The sequence below is a fragment of the Homo sapiens genome, chromosome 6, assembly GCF_000001405.40.
Source record: "Homo sapiens chromosome 6, GRCh38.p14 Primary Assembly".
In the NCBI taxonomy this organism is placed as follows: Eukaryota; Metazoa; Chordata; class Mammalia; order Primates; family Hominidae; genus Homo; species Homo sapiens.
The window spans coordinates 43,181,519-43,195,244 of record NC_000006.12 but is presented as its reverse complement, the minus strand read 5'-3'; the positions used below and the strand labels follow the sequence as shown (position 1 = coordinate 43,195,244).

Genomic DNA, 13,726 nt, shown 5'->3' with positions numbered 1-13,726 from the left:
AGAGATGGACTGGGCTAGAAATAATTCTCAGGACAATGCCTCTTGTAAGGCCTGGACCCTCCAAGCAACTTCTACTTCTCAATGAAGCTTTCTCCCTGTAGTTACACCACCCTCCCCTAGTTAGCTGAGTTCTGTAGACTTTAAGTTATTAACAAGATGATGTAATTTTATTTCAGGGCAAGATTTTTTTGAGATGAAGTCTCACTCTGTCGCCCAGGCTGGAGTGCAATGGCGCAATCTCAGCTCACAGCAACCTCCCGCTCCTGGGTTCAAGCGATTCTCCCGCCTCAGCCTCCCAAGTAGCTGGGATTACAAGCATGCACCACCACGCCCGGCTAATTTTGTGTTTTTAGTAGAGACAGGGTTTCACCATGTTGGCCAGGCTGGTCTCAAACTCCTCACCTCAGGTGATCCACCCGCCTTGGTCTCCCAAAGTGCTGGGATTACAGGCGTGAGCCACCACACTCAGCCATTTTTATTTTTATTTTTTTGTCATGATCTATAGTGGATGGCAATTGCTATGTTTTGGTCACGTAATTTGAGAGGATCAGGGAATTCTTTGAGCATGATGATCTGGACTATGAATGCCTGGCTGCTCTTGGTCCCATAAAGAAAAGCACCTCCCAGGCTGGGTGTGATGGCTCACACCTGTAATCCCAGCACTTTGGGAGACTGAGGCGGGCAGATCATGAGGTCAGGAGATTGAGACCATCCTGGCAAACATGGTGAAACCCCGTCTCTACTAAAAATACAAAAAATTAAGCTGGGCATGGTGGCACGTGCCTGTAATCCCAGCTACTCGGGAGGCTGAGGCGGGAGAATCGCTTGAACTCGGGAGGCAGAGGTTCCAGTGAGCCGAGATTGAGCCACTGCACTCCAGCCTGGGCTACAGAGCAAGACTCCGTCAAAGAAAAAGAAAAGAAAAGAAAAAAGAAAAAAGAAAAAAAAAGAGAAAAGAGAAGAGAAAAGAAAAGCGCCTCCTGGCCTCTCCCGGGACAGCCTGCTTTAAGAGGACACATGCTCCCGTTCATGCTGCTGCCATTATACTACTGGAATCCATTCTCAGAACTGCTCTGGCCGAAGCCTGCCTGTCTCCCTCAGGAACCCTCAGGCTACACAGAGCTCCTCTGCCCACACCACCCTACCAGCCAGCACTTCTGTCTGGAGTAACCAGGAAGCCAATTCTTCTGTAAGCTACTCTGGATAAGGGCCTTCCTTCCCGATTCTCTGGGCAATGGCAATGCTGGCTTTGTTTTACCCAAATCTAGTAACAGAGTATTTTCTATGTAAGGGTGCCACTTAGATAAAAGAGGAAAAAAAAATACTTTTGGTTTAATGGTCACATCTAGAAAATTAGCTTTTAACCAGACACCTAATAATAACTAAAAAGGCAGGAACACTCAATATACCTGAAAACTCAACTCCTGACCTTCACCCCATATCTCCTCCTCCTGCAACATTCTCTCTCTCTCAGTAAATGGGCACTTCATGCACCCTGCTCCTTAATTTTACACCCGGGAGTCATTCTTAACCCTGGCCTGGGCTGGGCACGGTGGCTCATGCCTGTAATCCCAGGAGGCTAAGGCAGGAGAATCACTTGAACCCAGGAGGTGGAGGTTGTAGTGACCCGAGATAGCGCCACTGCACTCCAGCCTAGGCAACAAGCGAGACTCCATCACAAACAAACAAACAAACAAACAAAAAACCTCCTGGCCTGGCACAGTGGCTTATGCCTGTAATCTCAGCACTTTGGGAGGCTGAGGTGGGAGGATCACGTGAGCCCAGGAGTTCAAGATCAGTCTGGGCAACATAGCAAGATCCTGTCTCCAACAAAAATAACCCCAAAACTCCCTTTTCCCTTTTTCCAAACACTTAATCCCGAAGAATGTCCAGATCAAACTCTTAAAACCATCTGCATCTTTCCATTCCAAAGTCTACTCACTGATCTGAAGCACCAAAGTACCCCCTCAAGATCAGTAGTCCCCAGTCTGCCTGTCTTGCCCATTGTTCTCTCCCGCCAGGCCCAATGTACTCACCGCCAGCCCAGCCTGCTGCACCAAGACAGAAGTCTTATATTCTTGCATGCAGACCAGCACAGCATAGATGCCACCCTCCCTGGCAAAGAGCGGCCGCCACTCGTGCTTGGTCATGAGCAGGTAAAGGAGGCGCAGGGCCTGCACGACCACCATCTTCTCTCCCACCTGGTTGGTCAGCAGCTCCACCAGCATCTTCACTAGCTTCTCTCTGACAAGAGAAGAGATATTGGGGCTCCCCATCCCAAGGAGTCTTGCCTGACCTCCCAGCCATGGCACCGTCGGACTCCCTGACCAATCCCATCCACCAAGATCTAGTCCATCCTCTCTGCCCCACCCAAACCTGCTCTCCTGGCTTCAGTCTCACCCCAATCCCCTCCCCTCTGCAGCCTAACTGCCTCTGGCTCCTCGGCTAATGAAGGAGGCATTAGAAAAAATGTTTATAAACTCTGGCTCACCTTTTCAAATAAATCTATAAATTCAAAGTGATACTAATCAAAATGCCTAAAAGGTGGTTTTGTTTGTCTTTTCGTTTTTGAGATGGAGTCTTGCTCTGTTGCCAGGCTGGAGTGCAATGGCGCGATCTCAGCTCACTGCAACCTCTGCCTCCTGGGTTTACGTGATTCTCAAGCCTCAGCCTCTTGAGTAGCTGGGACTACAGGTGCGTGCTACCACGCCCAGCTAATTTTTTGTATTGTTTTTCAGTAGAGACGGGGTTTCGCTATGTTTCCCAGACTGGTCTCGAACTCCTGGCCTCAAGCAGTGTACTTGCCTTGGCCTCGCAAAGTGCTGGCCTAAAAGGTTTTTAAAAACACCACAACAGGCAGATCCAAGCCTTGGAAATGTTGAGAAAAAAATAGTGGTAGTCAGGTGCAGCAGCTCATGCCTGTAATCCCAGCACTTTGAGAGGCTGAGGCAGGTAAATTGCTTGAGCCCATGGCTTTTGCCATGGGCAACATGGCAAAACCCCATCTCTACAAAAAATTATCTGGCATAGTGACCTGTGCCTGTAGTCTCAGGTACTTGGGAGGCTGAGGTGGGAGGATCATCTGAGCCTGGGAGGTCGAGGCAGCAGCAAGCTGTGATCATGCCACTGCACTCCAGCCTGGCTGACAGAGTGAGACCCTGTCTCAAAAAAAAAAAAAAAAAAAAGAGAAAAGGGGTAGGCTTGCCTATTATTATCAAAATATAAATATAAACTTGTAATAACTACAACCCTGGAACTGACATAGGGTAGCTAAATAGATCAATAGATGAGAAGAGAGATAAGGGTGGTGTATAAGCCAGCAAAAAAAAAAAAAGGAAGAACCATTTAAAATATAATGTTGTCTGGGCACAGTGACACACACCTGTAATCCCAGCACTTTGGGAGACTGAGGTAGGTGGATCACTTGAGGTCAGGAGTTCGAGACCAATGTGGCCAACATGGTAAAACCCCATCTCTACTAAAAATACAAAAATTAGCCAGGCGTGGTGGTGCAGGCCTGTAATCCCAGCTATTCAGGAGGCTGAGGCAGGAGAATCGCTTGAACCCAGGAGGCGGAGGTTGCAGTGAGCCGAGATTGCACTGCTGCACTCCAGCCTGGGCGACAAAGCAAGACTCTGTCTCAAAATTAATTAATTAATTATTGACTGAGGCCTTGCTTGAGGCCAAGAGTTTGAAACCAGCCTGGGCAACATAGTGAGACCCCATCTCTACAAAAAGTAAAAAAAAAAAAAAAAAAAAAAAATTAGCTGGGTGTGGTGGCTCATTCCTGTAGTCCCAGATACTTGGGAGGATAAGCAAGAAGGGTTGCTAGAGGCTAAGAGTTTGAGGCTGTAGTGAGCTATGTGATCTTGCTATTGCACTCCAGCCCGGTCAACAGACTGAGACCCTGTCTCTGAAAAACAAAAAAACAAACAAAAAAAAAAACAACACGCACACACACACACACACACACACACACACACACACACACAATGCAATTTAGAGACACCTGGCTATCCATATGAAAACACTGAAGCTGGAGCTCTATTTCACAACATTTGCAAAAATAAACTGCAAATGAATTTTTAAATAAATTTAAAAAAAACAAAATCATGGGTATTTTTGGAAAATATAGGAAAATATTTTTATAATTCTGGAACAGAATAGATCCTTTTAAGTAGGACACAAAATCTAGAAGCCATAAAAAAGCTGAAAAATGTAGCAACAAAAAGTCTGAAACTCTAGCATGATGAAAAAAACACTATACACAAAATTACGAGACAAGCGCAGGAGCTAGAGAAAGGGGCCAGTGGAAATGCTGATCTAAAAGAAGAGGAAGAAGTGCCTCTAGAGTCCCTAGATCACGGTGAGGGTCAGGAGAGAAAATAGCAGGTATTGACTCTTGCTTAACAGTGACAGTGAGGCCAACTGAGGAGGTGGCTCGGGAACTACGAGGGGAAAGAACACAGAAGGAGAACTTCTGGGAAAGTTCTGTTTTTAATCTATCTTTTCTAAGAAGTTTAATAATGACAACAGTGTGAATGAAATATGCTTGAAATACATATCCCCTTCCATGGCCATGATTTATTATATACCAGATAATATACATGGGTAATACATATGACTAGAGAAATAAGTAAGGATGTTTACCAACATGTTAATAGTGATTGTCTCTGTCTTAATGGCTTTCAGATTTTTTTTCTGTCAATCTCACTTGAATATGATCAGATAATTTTTATTTTAATAATTTTCTAACTTTTTTACCATATGTATTATTCTATAACCAAAAAATAGAGCTAAGATGATTTTTAAAAAGACAAGCAAAATATCTGGAACATAAATAACAAAGGAATAACCAAAATGCCTATAAATACATTAAAAAAGGCAAAGATCCAATTAAAAAGTGGGCAAAGGATAATAACAGAATATTTATAGAAAAAAAAAAACAGAACAAATGTATGCAAATGTGCCTAACTTTACCAGAACTAGGAAATTAAAACAAAGAGATACCAATCATTTAAAATGCTGCCAATTAGATAGATTAAAAAAGACGACAATATTCAGTGTTGGCAGACGTAAGGAAAAACAGACGCGTTAGAACACTGCACTTGAAACTGGAGATAACCACACTGCAGGGTCCCATGCAGCAGTAAAAATAATGAGGCAGCTCCACCCAGACTGATATGGAAAGCCCTCTAAGACACTGAGCGGGGGCAAAAAAAAAAAAGTTGTAGAAACATGTAGAATGTGATTACATAGACTAAAACAAAGACTCAGAAAATGCTCTATTTCCAAACACACAATTACAAATGCAAATCTGTAGGATATAGTAGACTGATAACAGTGGTGAGAAAGGACTTTGGCCCTCCTATGTCCTTTTACATTCTTCAGATCTTTTAAAATGAGAATGCGGCTGGGCATGGTGGCTCACACCTGTAATCCCAGCACTTTGGGAGACTGGATCATCTGAGGTTAGGAGTTCGAGACCAGCCTGGCCAACAGGGTGAAACCCCGTCTCTACTAAAATACAAAAATTAGCTGGGCCTGGTGGTGGGCACCTGTAATCCCAGCTACTTGGGAGGCTGAGACATAAGAACTGCTTGAACCCAGGAGGCGGAGGTTGCAGTGAGCCAAGATCACACTATTGCACTCTAGCCTGGGTGACAGAGTGAGACTCTGTCTCAAAAACAAGTAAATAAATAAAAATAAATAAATAGAATGAGAATAAGTTGTGTGTTATTTGTATAATTTAAAAGTAGAGGGCTGGACGCGGTGGCTCACGCCTGCAATCCCAGCACTTTGGGAGGCCGAGGCAGGCAGATCACGAGGTCAGAAGATCGAGACCATCCTGGCAAACATGATGAAACCCTGTCTCTACTAAAAGTACAAAAATTAGCTGGGTGTGGTGGTGCCTGTAATCCCAGCTACTTGGGAGGCTGAGGCGGGAGAATCCCTTGAACCCGGGAGGCAGAGGTTGCAGTGAGCCGAGATCGCGCCACTGCACTCCAGCATGACGACATAGCAAGACTGTCTCAAAAATAAATAAATAAAGGTAGAAAAAAATTTAAAATAAAGTAGGTTTTAAGGTCTAATGTGAAAAAAAAAAAGTACGTAGGGACAGAAAAAAAAGAAAAAGAAAGAGAAAAAACTCCAGTTCTAGAGCCAAAAAGACCTAGGTTTGAATCCTGGCTCTGCTATCTGTAAAACTCTAAGCAAGTTACTTAAATTCTCTAAGCTTCAGTTTCCTCACCCATATAGTAGGATAATAATATTACCAACGCTTCCTCAGGTGTTAGGTGGATTTAATGAGAGAATGCATGTAAAATACTAGCACAGTGCCTGGCATAACAGAAGTGCTCCAAGAATACGAGCCATTAAAACATCCAACCCTCCTGCTCGGCTGCTCCTCAGGCTGAGCCTTCCCTCACCCCAAGCTTTTCTAATTCGTGATCTCAAAGCTCCTTCCCCGCTACCACCATCCTTTGCCTACAGCTTCAACCAAAACCTCTTCCCTCCCCAGTATGCTAACCTCAGCGATCTGTCAGGACGGACCAGAGGGTGGTCCCGCTCAGTGACCTCCTCCACAGCCTGAGAGAGGGCAGAGAGCCCTGAAAGCTGCAGGTTTGTGTCCAAGCTGGATATCTGCACAGTGGCCACGACCGCTGCCACATGCTGATCCAGGGAGCTGCGAGGACCGGGACCCCGCAAGGCTCTGGCCATTTCTGAAATTGGTGGGAAAAGGCAATGGCTAAAAGAACTGTGGCACCTTGAAGTTAGAAGTCTTTAAAGTCAAGCCCAGTTATCCTACCAATATTTAAACACATTATCGGCTACTGCAGCTTGCAGAGTTTTCCAATTCTGTGTCAGGGATCTAATGATCAAACAAAGGAGATGAAGACACCCCAGAAAACGGATCCTCCTTTTCCAGAGATACTGAAGGAAGGGAGCGCTGGTTAATTAAATACAATCAAGGTCAAAAGGAAGAAGATGGACGCATGGTTCCAAGGCATTTTCCCCTGCAAAAATCACCTTCCTCCATGGCTTTCCTTCGATCCTGACTATCCATTTCTTCTACTGAGACTACCCAGGACTTGTTCCAATTGCTTCCTCCCAGAACCTGACTCACCACTGGCTGCCTCCTTCATCTCAGTGGGCAGGGTCATCCCCTCAGTCACCAGAAGCTGGTTAAACAGCTGAGAATCACTCTGTGCCATGGGGGTCTCGGTCCTTGTCTTGGTGGGCTCGGCCTCTGTCTTAGGGGCCTCGGCCTTTGCTTTGAGGGACTCAGTCTCTTCCTCTGAGAAGCTGGCCTCCGACTTGGACTCCTCTTCTGGATCTGGGGTACAGGAGTGATTTCGTGAAGTAGACGAGCTGCTTGGTTCATTAGACAGCAGCCCATACTTGGTGTAGATCTGGGAGTTGAGCAGGTCATTGAGAGTGCTGCCCTCAAATCGACTACTGAGAACCTGCAGCAGACTCTCGGCCATTTCCACGGACACAGAGATCTCACCTAGGGCCTTTTCACCCAGGGTCTGTCAACAGAAGGGGTATACGTTTAAGAGACAAGCAGACACAAAGGTCTTGGGGTCAGTAATGGGAAGGGTGATCACTCCCTACCATGCCCCCACACCTTCTACATACTAGACCCTCACAGCACTTGCCTCCAACCCCCAGCAGGACTCCTCCTAACTCTAATCTCTAGCTCCAGCCTCCCCCTAAGCGGTAACCCCTATCTGAAACTCCCTCTAGAGAATCCCACCTCTAACCCTACTAGAAAACCCCCAGGTATCTCAGACCTATAATACCTCATCCAGGTTCTTCCAAAGATTCTGGAAAATTGGCTGCTGCTCACACAAGTCCAACTTTTTGATAAAGAAAAGCAGCTCCCACCATTCAGCCTGGGTCAGATATCCCACTCTCTCATTCTTCTGAGGTTCGGGCTGGAGGTACGGCAAAGGGTACAGCCCATCCATAGGATTCCAGTCCCAGGAGGGAAATGCTGAGGACACAGGCATGGCGGGCATCAGCACCCCTCAGGAATGGGGTCTATTTCTGGACCCCTAGGGCTGCTCCTGGTCAGAAGTGGCTTCATCCCAGTCACTAATCCTCTGTTCAGAGACATGCTATCCATGTCCCCTCTTAGGCTCACCTGTGCCCAACACAGTAGCCCCTGCCCCCTTCTCCACAGCTGCTGAAGCCTTATCCTCAGTGGCTTCCTCAGGGCCCAGGATCTCCAGCATGTGCCAGTGCACCCAGTAAGTGCGGCCTGTCGACTGCCAGAAAACCTGGTATGAGGGAGGAAGAAAGAGAGCAGAATAGAGAAGGCTCAACCCTCTGAGCCTTGGCCTGTGAAGGCTTGAAAGGACATGCCCAAGCATAGATCTGGGGCGCACCCTCAGATACACACCTGGCTAAGCCTGGAAAAACCCCCATATGGCAAAAGGCTTCCTTCCCTTATCAGGAGTGGGCCCTGCCTCTTTTCTTAACCATGATTCTCTGCCTCGACATTCCTTCCTAGCCTCTTCCACTGGTGTTGGTGGGGAGGTATCTCCATTTATCAGTTCTGCTTCCTGGGTGAGTCTCCCATGAACTTACAGCCCACCCACACCCCTGCCAGATTTTCTCAGCCCTCCAAATGCACCCCGCACAAATGCCAACCCCCTTGTATCATTCCAATTCCCCAGGGGGGTTCTTCTTGGGTGGCCTGCAGGAGTCCTCCTTATGAAGTCCCAGCTACACCCCACCCCAAATAAACTCCCAACAGTGTCTCACCACCATGTGCTGCCCACCTGCACAGGGGGAATGCCGTTGTTGCTCTGCCGGAACTCGCCCTCGTCCCCAGCACTGATCTCCTCATAATCATCCAGCATCCGCACTCGCATCCCTGGCTGCAGTGTCTGCTGCACATATTCTCCATAGCCACTACGGCTGGAGAATTCAGAGCGCTGGCGGAAGACCCACCCTTGTCTTCTGGGGGTGGTGACAATGGTGGGGAGTAAAAGGCTGGGGCCTGAAATGTAGGGCTGAAAGATGGACCGGGTTGGCCGGGGAGGTGACATGCCCTGTTCGCTGAGGTTCCGGGCCCAGCCCATGCTCCGCACAAGCTCAGAGATGAGGTTGCCCACAGCCATGCTGAACTCCAGTTCCCGCTGTCCCCGGCTTTTCTCTCTTGTGGCACATGGGGAGCTTTGGTCTCCAGCTCCCAGCTCTGGACTGCTATTCAGCTGATCCAGGAGGGACGTGACACAAAGGTAGCGCTTCACCAAGGAGAAAAGCAGCTTTCCTGGGATCTGTAAGACACAATCCTTGGGACAGGTTCATCTCTTCCTGGCTTTAGCCTCTCCCCTTCCCTGAAGTATCCTCCTCTACAGAAAAATATAAAGGCCTTCTCCCCAGGCCTGTAGTTCTGAAACTTTGATTTGTGTAAGAAAGGCATAGGGAGTGTCTTAAAACACAGATTCCTGGGTTCTCATCTCAGAAATTCTGAATGGAGAGGGGCTGGGAGGGAGGACATGAACCTTCATGTTAACAAGTTCCCAGGTGGCTCTGGTGCTAACATTCAGTCCTGAACCACGTTTTCATAAATAATGTCTTAGCCCTTGTACACAGCATTTCCCTACAGCTGGCAGTGTACCTGAGGCAGATGAATGCCCTCAAAGGCCATGCAGTGTTCTTCAGAGGATGTGGTTTCTGCAAACAGCTCCAGCAATGTATAGCGACTGTCAAAATCCATGTGCTGCTCGATGCCATCTTGCTGGCTCAGTGATAGAAGGACGTGAGCCCGACTCCCTGTAATCCATACCCAATCCATATCTTCTCCTCAATCCCCAGTACTTTCTCCCTGCCTTTCCTAGATTCTATCTCCTACCCCAGACGCTTTCAAACTTTGTTACTAAGGCTCACAGAAAGAAATACATTTTACATGGTAACCTGTTACAAACATACATACATATAACTGAAACATATATTTTATGCTACAAAATTTACCCCTACTAAGTGCTACACACTAATGACTTAAGTTTTTAAAAAAATGTTGGTTGTAACCCACCAAATTGATTTCAAAACCAACTAATAAATCTCAATCCAGTTTCAAAAATACAGATAAGTCCTATTCTCTTCTCTGGTCAATGCACTGAGAATGAACAGATAAGCCAGAGGCTATCATTTTAGCCTCTTTATATACCTGAAATAGCCTATTAATCTATATTTTTTCCTTTGCATCAAATTGATATTCACCAAATACTAGGTGTTCTTACAGAGCTAGGAAATCTCTCCTCTTTCTTATTCCCTGTGGCCCCATTTTCTCCATTCCTTTCCTTCTTCCCTGGCTGTCTCTTACCAGCATCGTGGGCTGCCAGAGCCTGCAGCATTTTGCCTGCACTCCGGCGGATCTGAGGCTCAGGATTGCATAACATGTGCATGAGCAGGTCCAGGGCTCCTGTCTCCCTGAAGACACCAGTGAGGGGCCCGATGCTGGCGTAGGCACTGAGCACGTGGATGGTGTGAAGCACAGCGGCCGTGAGGCTTGGGGTCCCACTTTCTGCCAGCTGCCTGGCCGCCCTGCGTACCAGCGCCTGAACATCAGCCTCCATCTCTCCCATTGCCACTTCATCCAGGCCTCCTGGATCTCGAGGAAAGCTTCCTGAAACCCCAGCTGGTTCGTGCTGAAGTCCCTTAGATAGTGCCCGCTCACCTAACAGCCCAGGGCAGTTGGCGTAGACCTCAGGAGCCGACAGCCACATGAGGATGTGCTCTGCTTTGCCTTCTTCCACACCCACTTTGCCCACTTCCCCACACTTCAGGACACTCCATCGGATCAGGTATTCAGGATGCCCGTCATGCCCAGGCCTCTGTCGAATGAGTTCTTCAGGATATGCCTGCAGCCGAGGCCCTAAGGGCACCATGAGGTCCCCAGCATGCCGTTCCCCCACCATCCTGACCTCCTGGGATACACAAGGAGAAAGATAAGGCAGTATGAGAAAAGAAAAAAAATACATGGAGGGGGTGGAATCTTGAGACACAGAGAAGGTGGGTGGTGATCGGTAGGCTGCATGGTAGAATTTAGGAGGCCAAACAGAAAAGGCAAAAAATAGGATGGAATAAATAGCTGAACATACTTTGGGATTTATAACAGAAGGAGAATGGAGTGAAGACAGAGAGGGGATGAAGAAGGGGTTTAAGAAATGGAAGAGTTGGCTGCGCCCAGTGGCTCACGCCTGTAATCCCAGCACTTTAGGAGGCCAAGGTGGGCAGATCACGAGGTCAGGAATTCAAGTCCAGCCTGGTCAACATAGTGAAACCCCGTCTCTACTAAAAATACAAAAATTAGCCAGGTGTGGTGGCACATGCCCGTAGTCCCAGCTACTCAGGAGGCTGAGGCAGGAGAATCACTTGAACCCAGGAGGCGGAGGTTGCAGTGAGCCAAGACCGCGCCACTGTACTCCAGCCTGGGCAACAGAGTGAGATTCTGTCAAAAAAAAGAAAAAAAGAAAGAAAGAGAGAGAGAGGAAGGAAGGAAGGAAGGAAGGAAGGAAGGAAGAAAGGAAGGAAGGGGAGTTTACAAAAAGAGAATTAAAACAGTAATAGGCAAAGTAACAATAAACAGAGTGACAGTTAAGCAAGACAGTTTAGGCAGGATAGCAGGGTGGCTGAGGGTTACAGATTAGGACTTAGAAGAATGACATGGGTGGACAGGAAGGACAGCAGCATGTGAGGCAGTGGGATCAGAACATGTGAGGAAAAGTAGGATAGCGGAGGGGCAGGACAGGGAGCATAAATGACAGAGTAAAGCTGCAAGGTGGATGTAAAGGGTGGGCCATGGCAGATATAGAGAATGGAGATGACAAAAGGCTGGGATGTTGGGGCAAATGACTGGATAGGAAAAGTATATTCGAGTCTTGTGAAAGGGGGAGGGCCCTAGGGACCAGATAAAATTATGGGAAAGATGACCAGGTCCCACCCTGCCCTTATACTGCATGTATGGTAAGGATTTAAGTAAGTTAAGTAGATAAGATAGAGGTGGTAATCATGGGGTTAAAGGTAGGAAATGAGGTCAGGAGAGAAGCAATATTCAGAGACTTCAGTATCAGATAAATGTGACTCTGAATTCTGGCTTTCTGTCTCACTGTCTGCATAGTTTGGAACAAGTTACTTAACCTCTGAGCTTGTTTCCTCTTCTGCAAGATGGTAGTAATATTCATAGTTACTTCATGAATTTAGTAGGATCATGTATGTAAAGCACTTGGAACAGCATCTAGCACATAAAGAGTGTTCAGTAAACATAATCTGTTATTATTCTTAGATGGAGAAGGTAGGGGAGTCATCAAATAAATGCAAAGTTATTAAGACCGATTATAAATGGGAGTGGAATAATCAGGAAAGATATGCGTGATATGAAGCAGTGCAGGGGCAACAGGGAATAGTGAGAATAAGAATGGAAGAAGGTAAACCCAGATGAAGATATAGTGGTCAGGGCAGGGGTCATGTTGGGGTACAGGGACAGAAGATGAGAGTAGAGGTGAAGAGGAGGGAGAAAGATGGATGTGGACCTCAATGGAGGTAGGGGTCCACTTAGGATGGGGGGCAAGCCTGGATGGTAGCCAGCGATGTGCCAGCGGGCAACTGATTAGCAGCAGGGGGAAGTAAAAGAATCGGATAGGAGGAGGTAGGAGGTGTAACGTCGGCCTAGAAGAGCAACAATAAACTGAGGTGTGGGGGTGAGCTCTGGACGCATGGATGAGACCAGCAGATAGCAAGGTCAAGCCCAAGCTTGCAGAGCCGTGGGGAGGTGGAGGAGGCCAGCACCGCAGAGGGAACGGGTTTGGGGGGAGGGGGAAGGATGGTTGGGGGCGCGGTCCAAAAAAGCTGAAAAGATCCAGTGAATCTCAGAGAGCAAGACCTGGTTCCCTTCGTCAGCCCCATGGACAGTGGCTAAAGGACCGGGGAGGGGACAGGAGAAGGGGAGGGATTGGGTCGGCGCAGAACTCTCCTCTCACCTCCCACCGCCCGGCTCAGCCCTCGCTGGGACCCAGCGGCCGGTCCCGCCGTCCTGGCCCCGCCTCCTCAGAGCTCCCTTCCGGGTCACACGGCGAGTGCACGCACGGCCGGGCACCTACGGGTCCCACCGCGGCCCACGCCGAGCGTGGCGGAACAGCGCGCGAGTGGAGCATGCGTGCTACCGCGGGCGGCTGCACTGGAAGAGGGGCGTGGGGGCGCGCTACCGGAGGAGCCTGGGATCGAGGTCACGTTGCTCCTCTCTCAGCAGCAGGAAGAAGCCGTTTCCATCCAGTCAACTGTGAAGCCCCCTCCTCTTCACTGGGTCGGCCCTCCTAATCCTCCCTCTCCCATCACAGCGATCATGCTGACGAAACATGGTAACCCACATTCCCACCTTAAGGCTGCCCTTTTTGACTTTTCAGTAGGTCAGGTGCCCATGAGTTTCCCAAACCCTTCAGCAATGCTTTGGATTAGTTGTGTCACTTTTCCTGTTAATTAAAATTTGCTCCTCTGCGTTGGCCTTAACACCTAGCGAAGCCACGCACAGGGAGAAGGTCCTCGGCCCCGCAAAACTTTCCTTAAATTAAATCGTATAGAATTAAACAGCCCAAAGCACACCTTAGCATTACCGTTCTCATCAAGCAGCCCGGATCGCTACTCAGAGCAGCAATTTTAGGAGTTTGCCTCGCGTTCATACCCCCATCCCTCCCTAAGTAGAAAAACAGAACCA

General features: G+C 48.0%; 1 protein-coding gene across 20 annotated transcripts in view, besides 4 other annotated features; it reads right to left on the bottom strand.

Moving 5' to 3' along the window:
* CUL9 (cullin 9) overlaps positions 1-13,049 on the bottom strand; it is a 42,392-nt gene extending 29,343 nt beyond the window's left edge. For 10 of the 20 annotated variants that reach the window (XM_011514422.2, NM_015089.4, XM_011514424.2 and 7 more), the window contains exons 1-9: positions 12,996-13,049; positions 10,340-10,943; positions 9,635-9,789; positions 8,790-9,290; positions 8,150-8,285; positions 7,806-7,999; positions 7,127-7,532; positions 6,530-6,722; positions 2,037-2,244 (exon numbers count right to left, since the gene is read on the bottom strand). In XM_011514422.2, the coding sequence (XP_011512724.1) occupies positions 2,037-2,244; positions 6,530-6,722; positions 7,127-7,532; positions 7,806-7,999; positions 8,150-8,285; positions 8,790-9,290; positions 9,635-9,789; positions 10,340-10,934 (2,388 nt within the window). In that variant the 5' untranslated portion in view covers positions 10,935-10,943; positions 12,996-13,049. Of the gene's footprint in view, positions 1-2,036; positions 2,245-6,529; positions 6,723-6,808; positions 7,053-7,126; positions 7,533-7,805; positions 8,000-8,149; positions 8,286-8,789; positions 9,291-9,634; positions 9,790-10,339; positions 10,944-12,156 lie in introns of those variants that run through there. The other 10 variants (XM_011514423.3, XM_047418475.1, XM_047418477.1 and 7 more) reach the window with 7 other exon arrangements.
* Positions 7,666-8,865: an enhancer, noted in NCBI's record as "MED14-independent group 3 enhancer chr6:43154118-43155317 (GRCh37/hg19 assembly coordinates)". NCBI's record gives its function as "activates an origin of replication core promoter dependent on BRD2, BRD4, P300/CBP and CDK7 cofactors, and independent of MED14, by STARR-seq in HCT116 cells {active_cell/tissue: HCT116}" and the evidence as "EXISTENCE:reporter gene assay evidence [ECO:0000049][PMID:35650434]".
* Positions 12,849-12,898: a silencer, noted in NCBI's record as "silent region_17221". NCBI's record gives its function as "represses an Ori minimal core promoter by ATAC-STARR-seq in GM12878 lymphoblastoid cells {active_cell/tissue: GM12878}" and the evidence as "EXISTENCE:reporter gene assay evidence [ECO:0000049][PMID:35858748]".
* Positions 12,919-13,058: a silencer, noted in NCBI's record as "silent region_17220". NCBI's record gives its function as "represses an Ori minimal core promoter by ATAC-STARR-seq in GM12878 lymphoblastoid cells {active_cell/tissue: GM12878}" and the evidence as "EXISTENCE:reporter gene assay evidence [ECO:0000049][PMID:35858748]".
* Positions 13,309-13,378: an enhancer, noted in NCBI's record as "active region_24595". NCBI's record gives its function as "activates an Ori minimal core promoter by ATAC-STARR-seq in GM12878 lymphoblastoid cells {active_cell/tissue: GM12878}" and the evidence as "EXISTENCE:reporter gene assay evidence [ECO:0000049][PMID:35858748]".